This window comes from Homo sapiens, chromosome 16, assembly GCF_000001405.40.
Source record: "Homo sapiens chromosome 16, GRCh38.p14 Primary Assembly".
Lineage (NCBI taxonomy): Eukaryota > Metazoa > Chordata > Mammalia > Primates > Hominidae > Homo > Homo sapiens.
In genome coordinates, this window is record NC_000016.10 from 69942264 (window position 1) to 69967020 (window position 24757).

A 24757-nucleotide genomic window follows, 5' to 3' on the forward strand; every position below is an offset into this window, starting at 1 on the left:
CATGGACCAAGCAGGGCCCCGACTGTGCCTCCGATGCTCAGCGGGGCAGACCTGTTCAGAGCGAGCTCCCTCCTGGGTTCGTCAGCTGGACTCACTGCCTCCAGCTCCAAAACCTTATTTTCAGGCAACAGGCCAAGGCTGTACTTGGACAAAATTACTGGAAAAGGTCCAGATGTCTCATGATAAATTCAATAAGACATGCCCCAGTGGAAATCGTTCCCCCAACCCTTGTCCCCAGAGGGACCTACTATTCACAGTTGGCGGTGGCATTTCCAGACGCTTCTGTGCGGGTGGGCAAATCGTTTACACATACGATTTTTAAATATACCAAAAATGGAATATTGTACACACTGCGCAACTCACTTTTTTCATTAAATGAGATGCTATGGACCCCTTTCCATGTTCATCGAAGTAGACACTGCTTAACTCTTTAGCCACAGTGTGATATTCTGTATGATTGCAGTTCTGTAATATGCTCACCTCCTTCCTAAAGGAGGTGGCAGTTGTGTCCCACAGTTTGCTGGTGGCTGTGGAGCTCCGGGAAACGCCCTCGGGCAGGTCTGTGTGCTGCTGCTGCTGCTGCTCTCCTGCTAGGGGACGGTCCTAGAAGTTTGATTGTTGATCATGCACCTTTATTTTTCTTTAAAAATTTGGTGAAGGTTCAGTTGAAAGATGCAAAGGAGCTGCTGTGTAAGGCTTCCCTTACTCTTCTGTCCCTTGGCCACCCTGATGCCTTCCAGGAGGCAACCATCGCTGCTGGCTTCTTTTGGATCTTTCCAGATATACTTTAAAAATCCCAGCGGGGACAGGTGTGGTGGCTCACATCTGTAATCCCAGCACTTTGGGGATTTTTAGTAGACATAGGGTTTCGCCATGTTGGCCAGGCTGGTCTCAAACTACTGACCTCAGTTGATCCTCCCGCCTCGGCTTCCCAAAGTGCTGGGATCACAGGCATGAGCCACTGCATGCCTGGCTGTTTTTGTTTTGTTTTTTATTGTGGTAAAATACACAAATTGCTATCTTAATCATTTTTAAGTGCACAATTCAGTGGTATTAAATACATTCATAACGTTGTGTATCCATCACCATCATCCATCTCCAGAACTCTTTTCGTCTTGCAGAATGGAAACTCTGACCCCGCATTCCTCTTCCCCGCATTCCTCTTCCCCGCATTCCTCTTCCCCGCATTCCTCTTCCCTGCAGCCCGTGGCAACCACCATTCTCCTTTCTGTCCCTTTGATTGTGACTCCTCTTAACTACCTCCTTACGAGTGGAATCATATAGTACTTGTCGTTTCGTGACTGGTTTATTCCACTTAACATAATGTCCTCGTTGTGACTTGTTTATTTCTAAAAGTAACCACTGGCGCCTTGGTGCAGATGGAACTCCAGGTGCATGCGGTGAGTTAACCATGGTCTGGGGAGCTTTGTTTCCACGCCTAGGACATGCATCTGTGTGCATGATATGTGAGCTGATATAGCCATGCCTCTGGTGATTTGAACGCCTGCGCTTCCCAGCTGCTTCAGGGCCCTGAACATCGCTGGATGTTTGTACTTCATTCCCTCCTCAGCCCAGCTGGTCCCACTCCGCAGCTGTGCTCTAGGCATTTCATCTCAACTGGGTGATATATTTGAATACAGCAATTATAAGAACAGCAACCTCAGAAGAACATCTGGCATCCAGACCTCCCCAGCCTAGTTCCACAAGGTACCAACTTCCGTAAGCCTTGAAGAGCTAAGTAAGTCATCCGGGCCGGGTGTGGTGGCTCATGCCTCTAATCCCAGCACTTTGGAAGGCCAAGGCGGGCAGATCACTTGAGGTCAGGAGTTCAAAACCAGTCTGGCCAACATGGTGAAACGCCATCTCTACTAAAAATACAAAAATTAGCCGGGTGTGGTAGTGCATATCTATAATCCCAGCTACTTGAGAGGCTGAAGCAGGAGAATCGCTTGAACCCGGGAGGCAGAGGTTGCAGTGAGCCAAAACCGCACCACTGCACTCCAGCCTGGGCAACAGATCCCTTGGTATAGATACGGGGAGCTTGGGTGGTCTCATCACAGCAGAACGTCAGCTCTTGGCATGTTCTTTTCCTTTGCTACCAGCTTTTGAAACTGAAGTGTAGCAGAGTCATGAACCAGACTTTGAAACATGAACCAGACAGAGAAACATTTTAAGAAGTAGCGGCTGACCAGGAGTTGGAGATTGCAGTGCACTATGATTGCACCTATGAATAGCCACTGCACTCCAGCCTGGGCAACAGAGTGAGACCCCTATCTAAAAAAAAGAAAAAGAAGGGCCAGGCACGGTGGCTCATGATTGTAATCCCAGCACTTTGGGAGGCCAAGGCAGGTGGATCACAAGGTCAGATCAAGACCATCCTGGCTCACACAGTGAAACCCCATCTCTACTAAAGATACAAAAAGTTAGCCGGGTGTGGTGGTGGGTGCCTGTAGTCCCGGCTACTCGGGAAGCTGAGGCAGGAGAATGGTGTAAACCCGGGAGGCGGAGCTTGCAGTGAGCTGAGATGGCGCCACTGCACTCCAGCCTGGGCGACAGAGCGATACTCCGTCTCAAAAAAAAGAAAAAAAAGAATAGGGCCGGGCGCGGTGGCTCACAACTGTAATGCCAGCGCTTTGGGAGGCCAAGGCAGGAGGATCGCTTGAGCCCAGGAGTTTTAGACCAGCCTAGACAACATGGCAAGACCCCGTCTCTACCAAAAATACAAAAAATTAGCCGGGCATGGTGGTGCATGCCCATAGTCCCAACTACCTGGGACGCTGAGGTGGGAGGATCACCTGAACCCCGGAGCCGTGAGCACACCACTGTACTCCAGCCTGGGTGACAGAGTGAGACCCTGTCTGGAAAAAAAAAAAAAAAGTAGCTGGGTATGGTGGCACGTGCCTATCGTCCTACCTGCTCAGGAGGCTGAGGCATGAGGATGGCTTGAGCCCAGGAATTCGAGGCTACTCAGCAATTATGGTACCACTGCACTCCAGCCTGGGTGACAAAGTGAGACCCTCAAATAAAATAAATTGGCCATAAATGTAAGTTTTTTCCTGTATTGTTCATTCTGTTCCCTTGATCTATATGTCTTGTCCTTTTTCCGTATCTTATAGATGTGATTACTAGAAGTTTCATAGCAAGTTTTGAAATCAGGTAGTATACATTCTCCAGTTTTATTCTTTTTCAAATGTGTTTTGGTTATTCTAATTCCTTTGCCTTTCCGTGCAAATTTTGAGATCCAGTTTTCAAATTTTTTTTGAGATGGATCTTGCTATATTGCCCAGGCTGGTCTCAAACTCCAGGGCTCAAGGGATCCTCTTGCCTCAGTCTCCCAAATAGCTGGGATTACAGGCACATGCCACCAAACCTGGCCTCTCAATTGCTTTAAAATAAACACAACAACAACAAAAATCTTTTGGAAGTTTGATGGGCATTGCATTGAATTAATAGACAAATTTGGGGAGAATTACCATCTATCTTAACAATATTGAGTCTTCCCCTGGCCAACATGGTGAAATCTGTCTCTACTAAAAATACAAAAATTGGCCAGGTGCAGTGGCTCATGCCTGTAATTTCAGCACTTTGGGAGGCCAAGGTGGGTGGCTCACTTGAGGTCAGGAGTTCAAGACCTGCCTGGCCAACATGGTGAAACCATGTCTCTACTAAAAATACAAAAATTAGCCGGGTGTGGTGGCGGGCGCCTGTGATCCAAGCTACTTGGGAGGCTGAGGCAGGAGAATCACTTAAACCGAAGGGGTGGAAGTTGCAGTGAGCCCAGATCGCGCCACTGCACTCCAGCCTCAGTGACAGAGTGAGACTCTGTCTCAAAAAAAAAAAAAGAAAAGAAAAAAAAAGAAATTAGCTGGACATGGTGGCAGGTGCTTGTAATCTCAGCTACATGGGAGGCTGAGGCAGGAGAATCACGTGAACCCAGGAGGCGGAGGTTGCAGTAGGAAGAGATCAGGCCACTGCACTCCAGCCTGGACGACAGAGCAAGACTCAGTCTCAAAAAACAAACAATAAAACAATATTGAGTCTTCTATTCCATGAATGTGAAATGTCTATGCATTTTTTTAGATCTTTAGTTTCTCTCAGCAATGTTGTTTTACAGTTTTATGTGTATGGATTTTTTTTTTTTTTTTTTTTTTTTTGAGAATGAGTCACTCTGTCGCCTAGTCTGGAGTGCAGTGGCGCAATCTCGGCTCACTGTAACCTCCGCCTCCCGGGTTCAAGCAATTCTCCTGCCTCAGCCTCCTGAGTAGAGTAGCTGGGATTACAGTTGCCCACCACCACGCCTGGCTAATTTTTTGTATTTTTAGTAGAGATGAGGTTTCACCATGTTGGCCAGGCTGGTCTTGAACTCCTGACCTCAAGCAATCCATCTGCCTCGGTCTCGGAAAGTGCTGGGATTACAGGTGTCAGCCACTGTGCCTGGCCATGTGTGGAACTGTTTCCTCAATTTCATTTTCAGATTGTTTATTGCCAATGTGTAGAAATGCAGTGGATTTTGGTATGTTAATTTTGTATTCTGAGACCTTTATTCTAGTAGGGTTTTTTTTTTTTTTATACATTCCTTCGGATTTTCTACAGTAGAATTATGTCATCTGCAAATGAAGATAGTTTTACTTCTTTCTTTTCAGTGTGGATGCCTTTAATGTCTTTTTCTTAACTTATTGCACAAATTGCGCATTCAGTAGTACAATGTTTAGTGGGACCAGTGAGAAAAGACATCCTTGCCTTGTTTTGATCTTAGGGAGGAAAGTCTTTGGTCTCACTGTTAAGTGTGATATTAGCTGTACGTTTTGCGTAAGGGCTGTATTCGTTTGCTAGGACTGCCATACAAGGTACCACACACTGGGTGGCTTAAAAAACAGAATGTATTTTCTCAGAGTTCTGGAGGCATAAAGGCCAGGATCAAGGTGCCGGGGGGTTGGTTCCCTCTGAGGACCTCTTTCCTTGGCTTGTCTACAGCCGCCTTCTCCCTATGTCTTCACAGGATCTTCCCTCTGTGTGTCTCTTCTTATAACGAGGCCAGTCAGACTGGATCAGGACCCACCCCAGTGACCTCATTTAACTTTAATTACCTCTTTAAAGACCCTATCTCTAAATACAGTGACACGGAGGTAATGGAGGTAGGACTTCAACATACTAATTTGGGGCTGGTTGTGGTGGCTCATGCCTATAATCCCAGCAGATGACTTGAGCTTTGAGACCAGCCTGGGCAACATGGGGAAGGCCCATCTCTACTAAAAATACAAAAATTACCTGGCATGGTGGCGCACACCCACAGTCCAGCTACTCAGGAGCTTGAGGTAGGAGGATGGCTTGAGCCTGGGATGTGGAGGTCAAAGCCCCAGGAGCAGAGGTCACAGTGAACCAAAATTGTGCCACTGCATTCCAGCTGGGCAACAGAGCCAGACTTCGTCTCAAGAAAAATTTAAAAATCAAATAGACATGATTTTTTTTTAGACAGAGTCTCATTCTGTTGCCCAGGCTGGAGTGCAGTGGTGTGATCTCAGCTCACTGCAACCTCTGTCTCCTGGGCTCAAGTGATTCTCATGCCTCAGCCTCCCAAGTAGCTGGGATTACAGGTGTGTGCCACCATACCCAGCTAATTTTTGTATTTTTAGTAGAGACGGGATTTTGCCATGTTGGCCAGGCTGGTCTCAAACTCCTGACCTCAGGCGATCCGCCCACCTCAGCCTCCCAAAGTGCTGGTACTACAGGCATGAGCCACTGCACCTGGCCTAATTTTTTTTTTTTTCTTGAGACAGAATCTTGGTCTGTTACCCAGGCTGGTGTGTAGTGGCACGATTACAGCTCACTGCAGCCTTGACCTCCCTGGCTCAGGCTATCCTCCCACCTCAGCCTCCCAGGTAGGTGGGACTATGGACACGTGCTACCACGCCCAGCTAATTTTTTGTATTTTTTTTAGAGACGGGGTTTCACCATGCTGCCCAGGCAGGTCTCAAACTCCTGAGATCAAGCAGTCCACCCAGCTTGGCCTCCCAAAGTGCTGGGATTATAGGTGTGAGTGAGCTACTACGCCTGGCCTGGACATGTAATTTTTAAAAGAAAATGTGGCCACAACTCTCCTAGAGTTAAATGTTTTTTTTGTTTGTTTGTTTGTTTGTTTTTTGAGACCATCAACAAGATTTCAAGGCTTTAAAGAAAGGAGCTGCTTCAGGAAGAGATAAAATGACTCGAACGCTATAACCTTCAAATGCAGACTGGGAGAAGAGGTATCAGCTATGCATGAGCTGGAGAGGGGTGGGATAGATAGAGACACAGGTGATAAAGAAAATACAGCAAAATGTGAACCCTACAATCTGGGTGGTGGATGTAAACCCTGTAGTAGCCTCACCTGGGGAAAGCTGCCTTGCAACAATGAGGCTGCCCATTCTCCAAACCCACCCCAGCCACCGAGCAGGCTCCACTAAAAAGTCTGAACCCAGGAGGGAGTACCATGGAAACCAAGTTGCAATGCCCTGGTTAGGGGCCCAGCAGAGGGGTCATCCCAGCTCTACGCCATTGGATACTGAGTTTCAGGAGTGGGAGTGCCATCCTCAGGGTCACACAGCGTGTCGGTTCCAGCCTAGGTCTTCCAGTGTCTCATTAATCTTTTATCCACTCAGCTTCTCTTCTGGCCCATGAACCTTGCTCTCCTGGGACTCTTTTTTTTTTTTTTTGAGGGGTCGGGGGTGGGACAGAGTCTTGCTCTGTTGCCCAGGATGGAGTGCAGTGGTGCCATCTTGCTTCACTGCAACCTCCGCCTCCCAGATTCAAGCAATTCTCCTGCCTCAGCCTACCGAGTAGCTGGGACTACAGGCACCCACCACCCTGCCCAGCTAATTTTTGTATTTTTAGTAGAGACAGGATTTCACCATGTTGGCCAGGCTGGTCTCGAGCTCCTGACCTCAAGTGATCCGCCTGCCTTGGCCTCCCAAAGTTCTGGGATTACAGGCATGAGCCATCACACCCGGCCTGGGACTCTTCTTGCAGTGAGCCAGGGCCATGGGACCCTTCAAAAGTTGCTCCACCCTAATCCCCAAAATATCTTTTTCTCCCGCCTGTCCCAAGTGCCTGGCATCATACTATATGGGTCAACTGGCCGTGTTTGCCATGGAAGCCCAATTGTAGGAAGTGGGTCTTTTATCACCCGGCATAGCAGAGCTGTGGAAACTGCACTGGGAAAGATCAGGATGTGAATTAAAGCGTTGGGAATGGGAAGGCAGAGACCTTGGATTAGCTGGGATGCTCCATGCACTCGCTGAGTGACCTTGGACAAGCCCCTTAGACACACTAAGCCCGTTTCCTCATCTACACGACGGGCATCCCATCTGCTACTGCACCAGGTTCTTGTGGCAATAACTTGAACTCACACATGCAAACAGGCTTTGTGAGCTCCATAAACACAGGTGGCTTGGCCAGGTGTGGTGGCTCATGCCTGCAACCCCAGCACTTTGGGAGGCCAAGGTGGGAAGATCCCTTGAGCCCAGGAGTTGGAGACCAGCCTGGGCAAGACGATGAAATCCTGTCTCTACCAAAAAAAATGATAATAATTAGCCAGGCATGGTGGCACACACCTGGTCCCAGCTCCTTGGGAGGCTGAGGTGGGAGGATCACTTGGGCCCAAGAGGTCAAGGCTGCAGTGAGCTGAGATTATAACACTCCAACCTGAGTGGCAGAGTGAAACTGTCTAAAAAATAAAAATAAAAATACATCAAAAAACAGGTAGCTATTAAGCATTGCTAGGACCCACACGCAGTGACCCTGAGGGTGCTGGGTTTCTGTTTGAGGGAGAAGAAACTCCTGAGCCCCTAGGTATTGTGGGGGACATGCAGTTCCAGACCGCCTTCATGGCCTGTATGCCTGGCCTCATCCCCATCCCTGGCATCCATGACGATAGCCACATTCCACTGGTGTTTCCCCAGGAAAGCCAACCCTACCTGCATCTCAGCAGAGCTTCCACAGAGTTGGAACCCCGCTCCGAGAGGGTGTGGGCTCAGGGGCCAGGGGTCACACAAACTCCAGAAGGAGGACGTAGTTGGTTTGCAAGGCTGTCCTTTGCCCTGGTTGAATAACCTTTGGTCTTCCCCGAGAGGAACGTGGGCATTAGGTTGCAGCCCGCAGGAAGCCATGTATTTTCTGAGAAACTTGGCCCATGGTGCAGATCTGCTCCAGCTCACTCTGGTGGGATCACGCCAGCCACGGCCGGGCCACGGCACATCATGGCAACGTGCTGCCCACCTGCTACGCCGCCTGTTTTTCTAGAGGCGGACGTGATCCCAGCAGGACTGGAGTCAGCCCAGGGCATCACGTGCTCTGGTCCCCGCCTGCTTTGACTCCTCCTGCCTCACTCCCCCCCTGGCCTGTAGTCACGTGGGTGAGGGTGGTGGGCACCGGGGCTGGGCCCAGCCCCCGACCCTGCCCAGACAGACTTTCCTAAGGCACCCTTTTCCTCGTGCAGGTGCGGCCTCAGCCCACCCCCCTTTGAGCCCACAGATTGCACCCCTCTGGTGTGCGGTTACCTCTTGCCTATGTTTAATTCATGGCTGGGGGGTTGGGACGAGCTTCCCAAGAAAGGAAAGAACTCCCCTGGGGTCTTGCCCAGTTCCTGCTCACCAGAAGGACCATAGCCGAGGTCCTCCTCCCAGGGCCCGGGGCTGGGGAGCGGAAGCCATCAGTGGGCTCGGAGGACACTGTCCCAGCCAGGACACGGCCATCGGTCACTAATCTGCAGCACTGGAATGTCCGCGGGCCAATCAGCGGGGTCTCTGGGGGCTCCCCAAGGGTGCTAATAATCCCACAATGATTAGCAGGGGCCGCGGGTCAGTGCACGCCACTCTGCCTGCTGTCGGGGGCGGGCTGGCCAGGCCGAGGCCGGAGCAGGCAGGCATCCCCCGGAGTTGTCTCTTTTCATGCCAGCGCCAACAGGAGGCTGTCTGGACACACTGATTACTCACTCACCAGCCTCCCTCTTTTGTCCACCAGCCCAGCCTGACTCCTGGAGATTGTGAATAGCTCCATCCAGCCTGAGAAACAAGCCGGGTGGCTGAGCCAGGCTGTGCACGGAGCGCCTGACGGGCCCAACAGACCCATGCTGCATCCAGAGACCTCCCCTGGCCGGGGGCATCTCCTGGCTGTGCTCCTGGCCCTCCTTGGCACCGCCTGGGCAGAGGTGTGGCCACCCCAGCTGCAGGAGCAGGCTCCGATGGCCGGAGGTAAGGGACACCTGGTGAGGAGGTAGGTGGAGGCACCATTACGAGCTCTGAGGAGTGGGTGCTAGGAGACTTCTGGAAGCCCGGTCCCAGGCCTGAGCCCCAGGCCGTGCGGGTGGTTTAATGAGGAAGCCCTGGGACAGCCCGGGGGCGGTGAGGGGTGGATGCTGGACTGGGGAGGAAGGAGGAGGAAGGAGGACCAGGGCTGGGGTCAAGGAGGAACGCCGAGGGGCGCTGTGGCTGGGGCCTGGAGAAATCCGTGGCCCGGAGGAGCCCCAGACAGGGGCCTGCGGGAGCCAGGGCTGGCCCCTACACCCAGCCCGCACCGCTGTTCCCTCCCGCCACCCCAACCCCAGCACTCAGCCCACGCCTGCTGTACCTGGTCTCTCTCTCAGCCTCGCTCCATTGCTATGCCCCACGTCCCCTGCACCCACCACACTCCTCTCCCATCTTGTTTTCCAAGGGCAGGGACACATGCTTATTCTGCCGTGTGTTGGGTTCAGGTCCCCCCATCCTCGGGCTGCCTGACCTTCTCTCCCCACCCCAGCCCTGAACAGGAAGGAGAGTTTCTTGCTCCTCTCCCTGCACAACCGCCTGCGCAGCTGGGTCCAGCCCCCTGCGGCTGACATGCGGAGGCTGGTGAGTACCCGACCCAGCTGGGCTCTGCCAGGGGGGTGGCCGGAGGCGCGGACCCCAGAGGGCGGCTCAGGAGGCCACGCCTGTCCAGGTGCCCTTCCACTTGACCAGGGTGGGCAGGCACAGCCAGCCACCTTGTCCCTGAGGGACGGAGGCCCTGGTTGCTGGGGGTCTCTGCAATTTCTTAACCCCCCACCCTCAGTTCAGGAGGTCGGGCCCCTTGGCTCCCACTCGCCTGAAGGGCAGGACCTTGGGCCTTCCCTGGCATCTTGTTGTCACAGAGACCAGGAGCCACAGGAGGAGCCGGATCCCCTCCTCCAGGGAAGGGGAGCTTCACGAGGAGCCCTGCAGGATGGGCGGCCGGGCCAGGGAGGGAGAAGGTCGTGCTGGGCTGGGGAGGGGCTTCTGTGCGGCAAGGACCCAGCGCCTCCTCCTGAGCTTATCTGAGCCACGAGGACGGGCCTTGCCCATGTTCTCTGCTCACTCACTCGTCCACATTTTCCACATTTTCAGCAGGGGCCGGGGGTCGGGGGTATAGAATTCCCCACCAGCCCGGCTGGGGCTGCGGGGTTGGGACTGTCATCTGGAGGCTCAGAAACGCTGCCCCCCCTTGTCTGGGACCCCAGCAGCCCCAGCCCATGTTAGCAGGCCAGGGAGCCAGGGCAGGGTGGTGGGGGCGGGAGGGTTCCCCATGGCTGCTTCCCATGAACTCCTCCAAGGCAGGCGGCCACAGTGGCGACCTTGAGCACTCTAGGGTCAGTTTCCCAGGAGGTGGGGGTGGGGTGGCTAAATGCGGGGGGTCGCTTCTCCCCGATTCCCAGCCCTGAGTGGCTCTGCCTCTCCTCAGGCTCAGACCCTGGGCAACCAGGGGTGCTCCCAGCTGTGACCTCCGTGGTTGGGTACTCCTGCCTGGGACCCCAGGAGGGGCTGCGGTGGTCGTTGGCTGGCAGCTGGCACCCTTTCCAGGGCCCTTTTGTCAAAGTCCTAGAAAACTTCATTTCCGTAAAGGTGCAAATGGAGCTCCATGGCTCAGCCTCCCTCGTGGCCCGGCCCCGAGCACCCTCCGGGCCTCTAGGGCTCCAGGGCACCCCCTCTTTGGACACAGTGGAGACTGAAGGTCTTGTGGGGGTGGAGGGCTGCTGAGGGACCCCGGGGAGCCCCCAGCTCCTGGCCCCAGCCTTCATCAGAGGTAAAACCCCGATGGACATTAGTGCAGGATGAAGTTGGCTTGGGGTGCAGCCCCGAGGGGCCCCCCTCCCTGCATCCACTCAGTGCTTGTGAGTCCTATCCTGCAGGCACCTCCCTGCTCCGTTTACAGATGAGCTCAGGGAGTCTCGGGAGATCAGGGGACTGCACCAAGTCACCCAGGGGTGGTGATTGCCAGGCCCACTTGTTTAAGAAGAGGGAGGGGGCTGGGCACGGTGGCTCACACCTGTAATCCCAGCACTCTGGGAGGCTGACACAAGCAGATCACCTAAGGTCAGCAGTTTGAGACCAGCAATGGCCAACAGTGAAACCCCGTCTCTACTAAAAATACAAAAATTAGCCAGGCGTGGTGTCACATGGCTGTAATCCCAGCTGCTTGGGAGGCTGAGGCAGGAGAATTGCTTGAACCTGGGAGGCGGAGGTTGCAGTAAGCCGGGATTTCTCCACTGCACTCCAGCCTGGGCGACAGGGTGAGACTGTCTCAAAAAAAAAAAAAAAAAAAAGAAGAGGGAGGGGGCGGGGTCAGCTGTGCGTGGTGGGGAGCATATGAGGCCGGGCTCCTGGGGGCAGGAGACTAGGGCAGAGAGGCGTGGCTGTAGGGCTTTTTGCATCACAGGAGGGCAGCATGGCCGGGTGGGAGCAGTGGAGCCTTTCTGACAATGGCCAGGGCCCAAACACAGAACCAGTCTGCAACGCGTGGGCACTGCTCACATGACCAGATGGGAGAAAGACAGCAGGAGCGGGTCCCATTGCCTGGGCAGGGCCGAAGGATGCCCACGACAGGATTTGGAGATGGAGGCTCAGTCGTGAGAGGAGCTGGGCTCCTCCTGGAGGGACATCAGACAACACCAGTGCTTCCTCCAGCAGGACTCCTCATCCAGTGCTCTCTTTGCCACCTGACCTGGCACCCGGTGGATGCTCAGAGATGGCAGGGGAGTTGAATCTTTGAGGCCTGGCCCAGCAGTCAAAGGCCTCCCACAGATGTCTGTTTGTGCTGCCCCCAGGACTGGAGTGACAGCCTGGCCCAGCTGGCTCAAGCCAGGGCAGCCCTCTGTGGAACCCCAACCCCGAGCCTGGCGTCCGGCCTGTGGCGCACCCTGCAAGTGGGCTGGAACATGCAGCTGCTACCCGCGGGCTTGGTGTCCTTTGTCGAAGTGGTCAGCCTATGGTTTGCAGAGGGGCAGCGGTACAGCCACGCGGCAGGAGAGTGTGCTCGCAACGCCACCTGCACCCACTACACGCAGGTGAGTGTGCTGCAGGTGAGGCCAGTGTGCCAGCTCCCAGATACAGACTTCCACTGGGCCATCTCAGAAGAGGCTACAGTTTGTCCTAAATGTTGGGATTCCTTTTCCTCCAATTGGTTTAGTTTTACTTTTTTTTTTTTTTGATACGGAGTCTTGCTCTGTTGCCCAGGCTAGAGTGCAGTGGCGTGATCTCGGCTCACTGCAACCTCCGCCTCCTGGGCTCAAGTGATTCTTGTACTTCAGCCTCCTGACTAGCTGGGACTACAGGCATGTGCCACCAGGCCTGGCTAATGGCTTTATACTTTTAGTAGAGATGGGGTTTTACCATGTTGGCCAGGTTGGTCTTGAACTCCTGGCCTCAAGTGATCCACCCACCTCAGCCTCCCAAAGTGCTGGGATTACAGGCATGAGCCACTGTGCCCCGCCACATTTTTTCTTTTTTTGGAGACATGGTCTCACTCTGTCACCCCAGGCTGGAGTGCAGTGGTGTGATCTCAGCTCACTGCAACCTCCGTCTCCTAGATTCAAGCGATTCTTGTGCCTCAGCCTCACAAGTAGCTGGGATTACAGGTGTGCGCCACTACACCCAGCTCATTTTTTTGTATTTTTAGTAGAGACAGGGTTTCACCATGTTGGTCAGGCTGGTCTCGAACTCCTGACCTCAAATGATCTGCCTGCCTCAGCCTCCCAAAGTGCTGGGATTACAGGCGTGAGCCACCATGCCTGGCCTAAGCCACTTTTTTTCAATCTGAAATATAAATAATTTCAAACATAAACGTATTTATTTATTTATTTGAGACAAAGTCTTGTTCTGTCACCCAGGATGGAGTGCAATGGCTTGATCTCGGTTCACTAGAACCTCTGCCTCCCAGATTCAAGTGACTGTCCTGCCTCAGCCTCCCAAGTAGCTGGGACTACAGGCACGAGCCACCACACCCCACTAATTTTTGTATTTTTAGTAGAGATAGGGTTTCACCATGCTGGCCAGGCTGGGTCTCAAACTCCTGACCTCAAGTGATCCACCTGCCTGGGCCTCCCAAAGTGCTGGGATTACGCGTGTGAGACACCGCACCCAGCCTCAAACGTAAATTTAAAACGGCCCCACTCTTACCCACTACCTAGGTTTAGAAGATGCTACTAAACTAAAGCCCTGCTCCTCCCCTTTTCCCGCTGTCCCTCCCTGGAGGGAATCTTCCCAAAGTTCAGGAGCTGATATCACTGCCAAGCAAGTTTCCATTTTTTCTCTTCATTCAACGAATATTTGTTGAGGGTCTTCTACACACACCTGGCGCTCTTCAGATGCACTGAAAAACACAAGCAAAATCCCAGGAAATATTTAATACCTCTACTACCTGTGCAAGTGGGTTGTGCATGTTTAAATATTACACAAGGCTGGGTGCGGTGGCTCACGCCCGTAATCCCAGCACTTTGGGAGGCCAAGGTGGCAGGATTGCCTGAGCCCGGGAGTTCGAGATCAGCCTGGGCCACATGGCAAAAACCTGCCTCTACAAAAAAATACATAAATTACCCAGGTGTGATGGTGTGCGCCTGTAGTTCCAGCTACTTGGGAGGCTGAGGTAGGAGAATTGCTGGAGCCTGGGAGGTGGAGATTGCAGTGAGCTGAGACTGCGCCATTGCACTCCAGCCTGGGCAGCAGGAGTAAAACCCTGGCTCAGTAAAAAGAAGAACATGTGCCCCTACAACTAGGTGCTGCCAAAGTGCTTACGCCAACTGTGCAGACCAGCAAACCAGTTCCCACTTCCCGAAGATCTTCTGGCTCCTTAATTTTTTTTTTTTTTTGAGACGGAGTCTTGCTCTGTCGCGCAGGCTACTGTGCAGTGGCGCGATCTCGGCTCACTGCAAGCTCCGCCTCCTGGGTTCACACCATTCTCCTGCCTCAGCCTCCCTAGTAGCTGGGACTGCAGGCACACGCCACCACACCCGGCTATTTTTTTGTATTTTGTTTAGTAGAGACAGGGTTTCACCGTATTAGCCAGGGTGGTCTTGATCTCCTGACCTCATGATCCGCCTGCCTTGGCCTCCCAGAGTGCTGGGATTACAGGTGTGAGCCACTGTGCCCAGCCTTGGCTCCTTAAGTTTTGTCAGACTCAAAGGTGTGAAAAACCTAACTCTGTTTTGTTGTTGGTGGTTGTTTTTTGTTTGTTTTGTTTTTGTTTTTGTTTTTTCGATTCAGAGTCTTGCTCTGTTGCCCAGGCCAGAGTGCAGTGGTGCGATCACAGCTCACTACAACCTCCGCCTCCCCAGTTCAAGAGATTCTCCTGCGTCAGCCTCCTGAGTAGCTGGGATTACAGGCGCCTGCCACCACACCTGGCTAATTTTTGTATTTTTAGTACTCCGGACGTCAGGTAATCCACCTGCCTCGGCCTCCCAAACTGTTGGGATTACAGGCTTGAGCCACCACGCCCAGCCTCTATTATTGTTTCTAATTTTCTTGATGTGAATGTTTAGATCATTCATTTTAAATCTTTTTTTGTTTCTACTATATACATTTAAAGCTATAAATTTCCCTTTAAACGATTTCAGCTGCATCCAATAAGTTTTGATGTTTTTTCTATTTCCAATCATGATGTTGTTTTTGTTTGTTTTGAGACATGGTCTGGCTCTGTCGCCCAGGCTGGAGTGCAGTGGTGCAATCTCAGCTCACTGCAGCCTCATTTTCCTGGGCTCAGGTGATCTTCTCACCTCAGGTCCGGAGTAGCTGGGACTACAGGTGTGTGCCACCATGCCTGGCTAATTTTTTGTATTTGTAATAGAGATGGGGTTTTGCCATGTTGGCCAGGCTGATCTTGAACTTCTGAACTCACATGAGCCACCCAACTCAGCCTCCCAAAGTGCTGGGATTACAGATGTGAACCACCACACCTGGCCATGATGTTGTTTTAGATTTTGAAGTGTATCTTTAAGTTTCTAAACTATGTTATCTTCTCTATTTACTTGTAAATTATTTACTTTAAATTTCATTGCATTGAATTCATAGAATGTGGCCTGTAGGATGTGCTGATTCTTTGCTATTTGTTGAAACTTGCTTAGTGGTCTAATGTATGGTCCTCCTTTCTGGTTTGCAAAAGTCCCATGCATTCCTAAAAACGATACATATTCTTTAAGTGTTGGATACATGTATATGATCACATGTTCACATCTGCCTGCTACAAGCCAGTCTTGTACATGTCATTTTTAGTCTCTACTGGAGAGTTTGTTTCACTCTTCTTATATATTGCCCATTTGTGCTATTTCCAAGCTGTTGCTGATTCTAAGACTTTAAACTGGTTTGCAGACCTGTATCCATTAGGTTTTATTGCATGACATACTACCCCAAAATTTAGCAGCTTACGATTCTGCAGGTCAGCCACTTGGGTTGGGCTCAGCAGGGAGGTTTTCTGGTCTTGGCTGGGCCCACTCATACACCTGCAATCAACTAGGGGGCCGGCTGGGAGCTGGCTGTGCAAAAAGGCCTCTAATGGTTCATCTCTGTTCCATGAGGCCTTCCAAACTCCTATACTGAGTTTGTTCATGTGGTGACTGAGCATGGTTCTATGAGAATGAGTGGAAATGGCAAGGTCTCTTAAGGCCTAGGTTCAAAATCGGCTCAGTATCACTTCTGTGGCATTCTGGTGGCCAAACCAGTTACAGAGCCAGCCAGATTCAAGGAGCAAGGAAAGAGACACCTCTCTTTGCTGCAAAAAGCTGCAGAGTCACATTTAAAGGAGTGGCCTGGTGCAAGAAATGAATGGTTGTGGTCACCATGCAGTCACAAGGCCCTTGATGTTCCAGTCTTTTTTTGGCTACTCCCCTCCACCCATCAACAATCTCCCCTCATTTCAGGTACCTCCCCTCTCCATCCCCCTCTCAACTAAGAAAGCCTTCCTAGGCCGGGCACGGTGGCTCACACCTATAATCCCAGCACTTTGGGAGGCCGAGGCAAGCAGTTCACCTGAGGTTGGGAGTTCAAGACCAGCCTGACCAACATGGAGAAGCCCTGTCGCTACTAAAAATACAAAAAAATTAACCGGGCCTGTAATCCTAGCTACTCGGGAGGCTGAGGCAGGAGAATCACATGAACCCAGGAGGTAGAGGTTGTGGTGAGCCAAGATCAGGCCATTGCACTCCAGCCTGGGCAACAAGAGCAAAACTCCATCTCAAAAATAAATAAATAAATAAATAAATAAATAAATAAGCCTTCCTGAACTATTCCCACCCATGCTTCTACCCCTGCCCAGGACAGCTGCTGCTCCTGAGCCCTCGAGGAGGTAAGGGAGCCCTCTGTTCACCTGGATGATAGCGAAAGCTGTGTCCCCCTCCCCAGGGGTGGTTCACAATAGGGTTTCTGATCCCCTGTGTCTCCTGTAGCTCGTGTGGGCCACCTCAAGCCAGCTGGGCTGTGGGCGGCACCTGTGCTCTGCAGGCCAGGCAGCGATAGAAGCCTTTGTCTGTGCCTACTCCCCCAGGTAAGCCCTGCTACACCCTCTGCTGGGATGTCTGGGAGACAGGGAGGGGTGCTTTCACCGAGGGTGAGATTCCCACACATCCACCCGAAAGTAGAGTCCCTGATGCCTTGCTCTGCACCCTTGGTGGGAGAGGGGAGGAGAGGAAAGGCAGAGGGTGCTAAAGATTCTGGCCACGCAGAAGGTGCTGCTCTGCGGATGTCCCTTCCTGGATACTGGTCCTGGTATCAGGGAGTTTGTCCAGGATTGGTTTGGAGGCCATCTCTTCTCTCCCAGGGAATCTCCCTATCTCACCCAGCTCCCTGACTCCCTGGCCTGGCCGCAGGAGCTGAAGGGGCCAGGGGGGCAGGCAGCAGGGCCCTGCCTCTGCCTTGCCCAAGGCCAGGCCCTCCCACACCCTGTGGTGCCTGCTCGTCCTCACAGAGGCAACTGGGAGGTCAACGGGAAGACAATCGTCCCCTATAAGAAGGGTGCCTGGTGTTCGCTCTGCACAGCCAGTGTCTCAGGCTGCTTCAAAGCCTGGGACCATGCAGGGGGGCTCTGTGGTGAGTGCATGAGGGCTCAGTCTGGTGACCCTGGGGTGGGGGTGGTAGCATCCTACTGGGCTGTCCCAGAAGCCCTGGCCCTTAGCACCCAGGGAGGCTCCTGCCCGGCCTGCTGGGAGGAGACCCTTTTCTCAGAGTCCCCTCCTCCTCTGACCAGAGGTCCCCAGGAATCCTTGTCGCATGAGCTGCCAGAACCATGGACGTCTCAACATCAGCACCTGCCACTGCCACTGTCCCCCTGGCTACACGGGCAGATACTGCCAAGGTGAGGGCACTGGAGCCTGGGTGTGCCCAGCCCTGCTCTCGTGGCAGGTCCTAGGGCTGCTACACTTCCTGAGAGTCTCAAGGGTGTCAGAGGTGCTGACTGTGTACTCCCTGAGTCTGCCCACTGCATACATTCTTTCAACAAGCATTCACTGAGCACTAGCTGTTTGCCAGACCCTGAGCTGTGCAGGAGATTCAAAGTGAAATCAGGTTCAGCCCCTTAGGCTCTGGGAGGAGGACAGAATTAGGACCCAGAAGTGGATTCTTGCCCTACTGCCCCTCTACCCTAACCCACTCTGTGACCATGGGCAGGTCACCTCCCAAACTCCAATATGCCTCACTCTGCAATGGGGACCAAACCAAAGACACCAGGCGTGCCAGCAATCGGAAGCCTTGGTGGGTTCTGTCTATGGGAGGGGTATTCTTGCTGTGGTTGGCATTCCCTGGATGTTCGAGGCCTCTGGGGGGCAGCGTGGGGTCCAGAAGGCTGGGGGCTGAGCCTCTGCCCCACTGCCCTGCCCTGGCAGTGAGGTGCAGCCTGCAGTGTGTGCACGGCCGGTTCCGGGAGGAGGAGTGCTCGTGCGTCTGTGACATCGGCTACGGGGGAGCCCAGTGTGCCAGTGAGTCCTGCCCCAGGGCCCCCAAAGAGCCAGCTCCTCTCAAGACCCCCCTTCAATGGGGCATCAGCTCCCAGGAGCCCGCTGTGTGCCTCTCTTTCCAACTCATTCAGTGACAACACGTTGAGATCTTGAAACTGGCCACAGCATGGATATTTACACCAAAGAAATTGGCAAATGCTATAAACCATGGATTTTTTTTTTTCTTTTGAGAGAGAGCAAGCTCAATATTCCAACTTACCAGCTCGCTCCTGACCCTCACCACCCACTCTTTTGGAGCAGGTGGCCAGAGGAAGGGGCACCCTGAGCTTAGCTCCCCGGCAGGGCAGGAAAGGGCAGGGATTCTGAAGTCCACACACAAACTCAGGCTCCCCTACCCCAGCCAAGGTGCATTTTCCCTTCCACACCTGTGACCTGAGGATCGACGGAGACTGCTTCATGGTGTCTTCAGAGGCAGACACCTATTACAGAGCCAGGATGAAATGTCAGGTGACAGTCACCCCTAGCTTCCTAGGAACCCCCTAGGGCCTCAAGTGAGGGTCTTAATGCAGGGACCCTGGAGTGAGAGGTGGTTCCTTCCACGTCTCTGACCTCACCCTATTCATCAGCATAAAGCAGGGGTCGTGGACTCCAAGGCTCATAGAAGCCAGGAGGTCACTTATTGACCTGAGGGGCCAAGGTCAAGACCAACCTCCATCTAAGGGAGTTCCAGCCACTGGTTGCCTTGCAGGAATGCAAGGTCAGGGTGGCCAGAGCTCGGGGTTGTTCAAGAAAACCAGCAACCCAGACTTCCACTGGCAACTCTCGAAACCACAATTAATTACTGGGGTTGGCAATCAACTTGGATATATTTAAGACACTGTGCAGGTGAAACAGAACCTCCTCAGGGGCCAGACCTTGCCTGGGCTTGTGGGCTGCTGGTCGCGCCCCCGTGCACAGGGAGAAGAGAAGCAGACGGGAGCAGAAGGGACCCCTGCTCTTGGAAGGGAGGCTGTGCGGGCTGGGGGTGATGATAGCCCGGCCAGCACACACACGTGGCATCTTAGGCCATGGGCAGGGGTGGCAGGAAGGGGCAGCCTGGGCTCTGGGAGCCTTGCCTGTGTGACCCAGGGTGGGGTTACAGAGGAAAGGCGGGGTGCTGGCCCAGATCAAGAGCCAGAAAGTGCAGGACATCCTCGCCTTCTATCTGGGCCGCCTGGAGACCACCAACGAGGTGATTGACAGTGACTTCGAGACCAGGAACTTCTGGATCGGTGAGTGCCCAGCTGATTGGGGGTATGGCGAGTAAGGGGTTGTGATGCCCCACCCTGCTGCAGGAACCCTGGGCCATGGCGGCTGCCAGCAGATGGCAAGGGTGTGTTGAGGGCCTGGAGCCCAGAGCGGGGCCAGCTGCTCACCCCCTTTCCCGGGAAGGGCCCAGGTAGGGAGCACATGGGGGCTGCCAGCGCTGGGAAGAGGGGCCAGAAAGGCAGCTGGCAGCAGACTCCAGGGTCTGAGTGGGCCAACCTTGACTACCCCGGCCCAGGGCTCACCTACAAGACCGCCAAGGACTCCTTCCGCTGGGCCACAGGGGAGCACCAGGCCTTCACCAGTTTTGCCTTTGGGCAGCCTGACAACCACGGGTAAGTGTGGGGTGCCTCCCTCCCCTGGGCCTCCTTCTCACTTGGGCCTGCCTGGTGGAGCCCCCCATCCCGCTGCCTGGCTGGGCCCTTTGAGGGTCTGATCCTTCCCTGGTGCCTGCCCAGGTGCCAGAGAGTTGTGGGCACAGCTGGTGTGGGCCGGTGGTGGGGTGAGGGAGATGCAAGCCGGAAGGCACGTCACGTGGGGGAGAGAGGGACCCAGGAAGCCTCCATCCATCTGTCCATCCCCAGTGTCCCCTGGTGTGACTCCATCCCTCCAATTCTCATCCACTCACCCCTCCGTCTGCATGCCCTCTGCCTGCATCAGTTACACTGATGCCAGCATTCCTTAGCTGTCACCCACCTGCACTCATTCACAATACAACCCTGCACCTGCAGACCCACCAGCCATCCTGTAGCAAGAACCCTCTGGTCACGTGGCCCCACCCTGCTCTTCAAAGCCCAGCAATGCCCAGGGCCAGGGTGGAGGTGGTCCGGCTGCGAGGCCACCAAGGGCTCCAGCGATTTCAGCCAGCCCTCCTTGCCAACAGCCGGCCTGTGCCCCTGGCCTCTTGCCTGGAGGAAGTCTGGGCCTTGTTGGGTTCCCAGGTGTACCTCTCAAGTGGGCTGTCTATTCCAGTCCCCACCATCCCCACAGGCTGGTGTGGCTGAGTGCTGCCATGGGGTAGGCAGAGCTGTTACCCCAGGAAGGGGCTTCCCTGAGAAGTGGAGCAGGGCTGGGGGCTTGGGGACGGGCCTGGCTCCCGGCAGCCCCGTCGGCAGGTGGGGGCACTGGAGCCCCTGAGATGCAGGGTCCTGATGGGTGGAGGGCTTAGGCCTCTCCCGGTCCCTGACTTCACTCTTGCCTCCTGACCACCACACCATGGCCTGCAGGTTTGGCAACTGCGTGGAGCTGCAGGCTTCAGCTGCCTTCAACTGGAACGACCAGCGCTGCAAAACCCGAAACCGTTACATCTGCCAGTTTGGTGAGGGACTTCCTGAGGCTCCCCTTCTCTGATCCCTGACCCTGGGGGTGCTGCTGACCCGGTCCAGCCTGCAAGGGTATCTAGGTGGCAGGTTCAGAGTGGGTCTGGGCACACGGGGCCATAGAGGATGCCCTGTTGATGGCCTTGTACCTGTGGGCTCCTGAGCCCAGAGGGGCAACGACGGGCCCAGCTTCATACAGCAAGGCCACGCAGGAAGGACTAGAGCTACAGCTCTGCAGGGGATTTCTCCAAGGACCCTCTCCTGTCATGAAAGCTGCTTCCTGGGAACCTGTTGGGTTCCTTGGTGTTCCCGGGAGCCCCATGAACTGTGGTGGAGGCGGAGGTGAAACCTAGCATGGCACCAGCTCCCAGCAGCCTCTGCTAGGAAGGCCTGGAGCGCCACAGGGACCACGGCCATGGGCACTTCCAGACCGAGTGCAGCAGGGCTGCCATCTTGGGACTGCCTGGGCTGCCATCGAGCCCTGCTCTCTTCTGCTTCCTTCCAGCCCAGGAGCACATCTCCCGGTGGGGCCCAGGGTCCTGAGGCCTGACCACATGGCTCCCTCGCCTGCCCTGGGAGCACCGGCTCTGCTTACCTGTCTGCCCACCTGTCTGGAACAAGGGCCAGGTTAAGATCACATGCCTCATGTCCAAAGAGGTCTCAGACCTTGCACAATGCCAGAAGTTGGGCAGAGAGAGGCAGGGAGGCCAGTGAGGGCCAGGGAGTGAGTGTTAGAAGAAGCTGGGGCCCTTCGCCTGCTTTTGATTGGGAAGATGGGCTTCAATTAGATGGCGAAGGAGAGGACACCGCCAGTGGTCCAAAAAGGCTGCTCTCTTCCACCTGGCCCAGACCCTGTGGGGCAGCGGAGCTTCCCTGTGGCATGAACCCCACAGGGTATTAAATTATGAATCAGCTGAACCTGTGCATGCTCATTTCAAAGGGAAATTCAGATGATCCAGGATGACCCTGGAGAGACCAGAGGGGGCCTGAGGCTTCACTGCAGCGGCCTCCACCCACCTATTCCCTTTCCTGGTCACCTTCATGGTCCAGGACACTCTCTGGAAGTTCTGGGTCTCCCCAAGAAGAGGAAGACCAGACTCTGCCTCAGTGAGGAGCTGTTCTCATGGCTGGGGCCCAGGCAGGCAGGGTATTAATAGAAGTTGCTCTGAATGTCTGGGAGACGACGCGTGTGTGTTGCCCCCACCGGCGGAGTGTCATCGCACCAGGGCCAATGGTAGTCAGAGCCTGTGCAGTCCCGCTCCCTCACCCAGCTCCTCAGACATCACCCACAAGGGGTTATCACTATCCCAGTTTACAGCAGAAGAAATGAAGGCAGAGAGATTGAGTAACTTGCATAAGATCATACAGCTGGGAGTCAAACCCAGTGAGTCTGGCTGTCATTTATTTATTTTTTTTTCTTTTCTTTTCTTTTCTTTTCTTTTTTTTTTTGAGACGGAGTCTCGCTCTGTCGCCCAGGCTGGAGTGCAGTGGCACGATCTCCGCTCACTGCAAGCTCCGCCTCCCAGGTTCACGCCATTGTCCTGCCTCAGCCTCCCGAGTAGCTGGGACTACAGACGCCCGCCACCACGCCCGGCTAATTTGTTTTTTGTATTTTTAGTAGAGACGGGGTTTCACCGTGTTACCCAGGATGGTATCGATCTCCCGACCTCGTGATCCACCCGCCTCGGCCTCCCAAAGTGCTGGGATGACAGGCGTGAGCCACCGCGCCCGGCCCTATTTTTTTCTTTTTTGAGACAGAGTCTCGCTTTGTCGTACAGGCTGGAGTGCAGGGGTGCAATCGGGCTTCACTGCAGCCTCGAACTCCCAGGCTCAAGCGATCCTCCTGCCTCAGCCACCCAAGTAGCTGCAACCACAGGTCCGCACCACCACGCCCCGCTATTTTTTGTGTTTTTTGTAGGGACGGGGTTGCACCATGTTGCTCAGGCTGGTCTCGAACTCCCGTGCTCAAGCGATCCGCCATCCTGGGCCTCCCAAAGTGCTGGGGTTACAGGCATGAGGCCCGGCGCCGGCCCAGTCTTTCCCTCTCCCACTGCTTCCCATGGCTTCGCCTGTCTAACCGGGCGCGGGCAGTTGTCCTGTGTCCTGGCTCAGCGCGGACCTACGCGGGGTGATCACACAGATGCCCCCAGCTCTCTCTACCTCCCGCGAAGGCGCTGAGCCCCCTGATCCCTGCCCGGGCACTGGCGCAAGGTCGCCTGCGAGCGCCAGGCCTTCCTGCCCGGTGGGAGACGGGAGGGCCCGCTCTCCGGCTCGGTCTGGTTCCCGGGTCAGCCAGCAGCCGCGCCTCTTCCTCCCGGACCCGGGACCCGCCCCTTGTCCGGGGCCACGGCCGCAGCGCCCGGAGGGGCCGCCCTGCGCATGCCCGCGGGAGGTGGGTGACCCGGGCGCGCGCTGCCCGAGGCCGGGGGGCGGTGGGGACAGCACAGGCGGGGCGGCCGAGCCGAGACCTTCCCACCCCGCCCCACGCCTGGTTGGGGACCTGACGCGCCGTCGTGAGTGGGGCGGGTGCAGGTGTCCCTGGGGGCCGGGGGCAGACACTGGTGCGGGACGACCTGCTCCCGAGGGGGTCCGCAGGCCACACCCAGAGAAACTGGGGCGCCTCCAGTCACCGCCGCGGTCCGCCCCGCCCGAGGCTTTGACCCCCTGAATCAGCGTCGGGGCAGGGATCCGCGTGGGGTGGAAGAGGCTGGGAAACTGGGGAGTCCCGGGCCTCCTCTGAAGCCGCCCGCCCTTGGCTGGCTGGTCCTTCTCTTCCTCGGCTCCCGCCGGGCTGGGCCCTGGGCCGCCCTCACTCCCTCCCCTCTGCAGCCTCCCTTGCGTTTGTCATTCACTCTACCAGGCTCTCCTTCTGCCTCCGCATGCCCAACGATCCGGAGAAAAACACGGACCATGACATCAAAAGGCCTTGGCAAAGGAATCGTGATTATTGTGATACAAGATTCTGCACCTCAAAGGGGATCCCTGTAGTGAGTTTTGGAAAACGTACAAAGCCTGACTTACAGTATGCCTGTTATCTGTGGCGTTTCATCTGGGGAACTTACTTTTCCTTGATAGGGTAAACTATTCTCATCCAGAGTATGTCCCTCAGTCTGTAAAAGTCCATGGTGCCCTACATCTATTAGGGGAGTGAGGAAGGGCAGTGGACATTGGATCTGCTTCTTTGAAAGCCCCCACTTGTGTTTAGCTTCTGTTAGAGGCCTTTGAACCAGAGCAACTCCATCTTGAGTAGGCGCTGGGTAAAATGAGGCTGAGACCTACTGGGCTGTGTTCCCAGGCGGTTGAGGCATTCTAAGTCACAGGATGAGATGAGAGGCCGGCACAAGCAGTAAAGAAGCCGCGGCCAAAACCCACCAAAACCAAGATGGTGATGCGAATGACCTCTGGTCGTCCTCACTGCTACACTCCCACCAGCGCCAAGACAGCTTACAAATGCCATGGCAACGCCAGAATGTTACCCTATATGGTCTAAAAATGGGAGGCATGAATAATCCACCCCTTCTTTAGCATATAATCAATAAATAACCATAAAAATGAGCAACCAGCAGCCCTCGGGGCTGCTCTATGGAGTAGCCATTGTTTTATTTCCTTACCTTTTTTTTTTTTTTGAGAGGGAGTCTTGCTCTTGCTCAGGCTGGAGTGCAGTGGCGTGATCTCGGCTCACTGCAATCTCCGTCTCCTGGGTTCAAGTGATTCTCCTGCCTCAGCTTTCGAGTGGCTGGGACTACAGGTGCCCACCACCATGCCGGCTTTTTTTTTTTTTGTACTTTTAATAGAGACGGGGTTTCACCACGATGGCCAAGGTGGTCTCAAACTCCTGTCCTCAGATGATCTGCCCACCTTGGCCTCCCAAAGTGCTGGGATTATATGCGTGAGCCACCGCGCCCAGCCCTATTCCTTTACTTTTTATTTTGAGGTGGAGTCTCACACCTGG

The 24757-nt window shown here is 54.5% G+C and overlaps 1 protein-coding gene across 13 annotated transcripts, besides 3 other annotated features; it reads left to right on the forward strand.

Annotated features, from left to right (window-relative positions):
* The first annotated feature begins 1255 nt into the window (after positions 1 to 1255).
* CLEC18A (C-type lectin domain family 18 member A) lies at positions 1256 to 24360 on the forward strand. 13 transcript variants are annotated; one of them, XM_047434062.1, is made up of 15 exons: positions 1256 to 1707; positions 5000 to 5135; positions 6146 to 6245; positions 8998 to 9227; positions 9772 to 9863; positions 12071 to 12310; positions 16679 to 16776; positions 17197 to 17318; positions 17476 to 17583; positions 18110 to 18202; positions 18582 to 18688; positions 19323 to 19452; positions 19725 to 19821; positions 20713 to 20804; positions 21311 to 21723. In XM_047434062.1, the coding sequence occupies exons 4-15, from the start codon at positions 9104 to 9106 to the stop codon at positions 21346 to 21348; spliced, it is 1341 nt and encodes a 446-aa protein (XP_047290018.1). In that variant the 5' UTR covers positions 1256 to 1707; positions 5000 to 5135; positions 6146 to 6245; positions 8998 to 9103; the 3' UTR covers positions 21349 to 21723. The 13 variants fall into 13 exon arrangements, with proteins under 13 accessions (XP_047290018.1, XP_047290015.1, XP_047290016.1 ...); XM_047434059.1 differs by lacking the exons at positions 1256 to 1707; positions 21311 to 21723 and adding an exon at positions 23666 to 24360 and having other exon boundaries at positions 4577 to 5135; XM_047434060.1 differs by lacking the exons at positions 1256 to 1707; positions 5000 to 5135; positions 21311 to 21723 and adding an exon at positions 23666 to 24360 and having other exon boundaries at positions 5967 to 6245.
* Positions 7778 to 8391: an enhancer, noted in NCBI's record as "H3K4me1 hESC enhancer chr16:69983944-69984557 (GRCh37/hg19 assembly coordinates)". NCBI's record gives its function as "activates a minimal SCP1, AML or CMV promoter by ChIP-STARR-seq in naive H9 embryonic stem cells {active_cell/tissue: H9 hESC(naive)}" and the evidence as "EXISTENCE:reporter gene assay evidence [ECO:0000049][PMID:30033119]".
* Positions 8392 to 9004: an enhancer, noted in NCBI's record as "H3K4me1 hESC enhancer chr16:69984558-69985170 (GRCh37/hg19 assembly coordinates)". NCBI's record gives its function as "activates a minimal SCP1, AML or CMV promoter by ChIP-STARR-seq in naive H9 embryonic stem cells {active_cell/tissue: H9 hESC(naive)}" and the evidence as "EXISTENCE:reporter gene assay evidence [ECO:0000049][PMID:30033119]".
* Positions 10231 to 10844: an enhancer, noted in NCBI's record as "H3K27ac-H3K4me1 hESC enhancer chr16:69986397-69987010 (GRCh37/hg19 assembly coordinates)". NCBI's record gives its function as "activates a minimal SCP1, AML or CMV promoter by ChIP-STARR-seq in naive H9 embryonic stem cells {active_cell/tissue: H9 hESC(naive)}" and the evidence as "EXISTENCE:reporter gene assay evidence [ECO:0000049][PMID:30033119]".
* Positions 24361 to 24757: the final 397 nt, after the last annotated feature.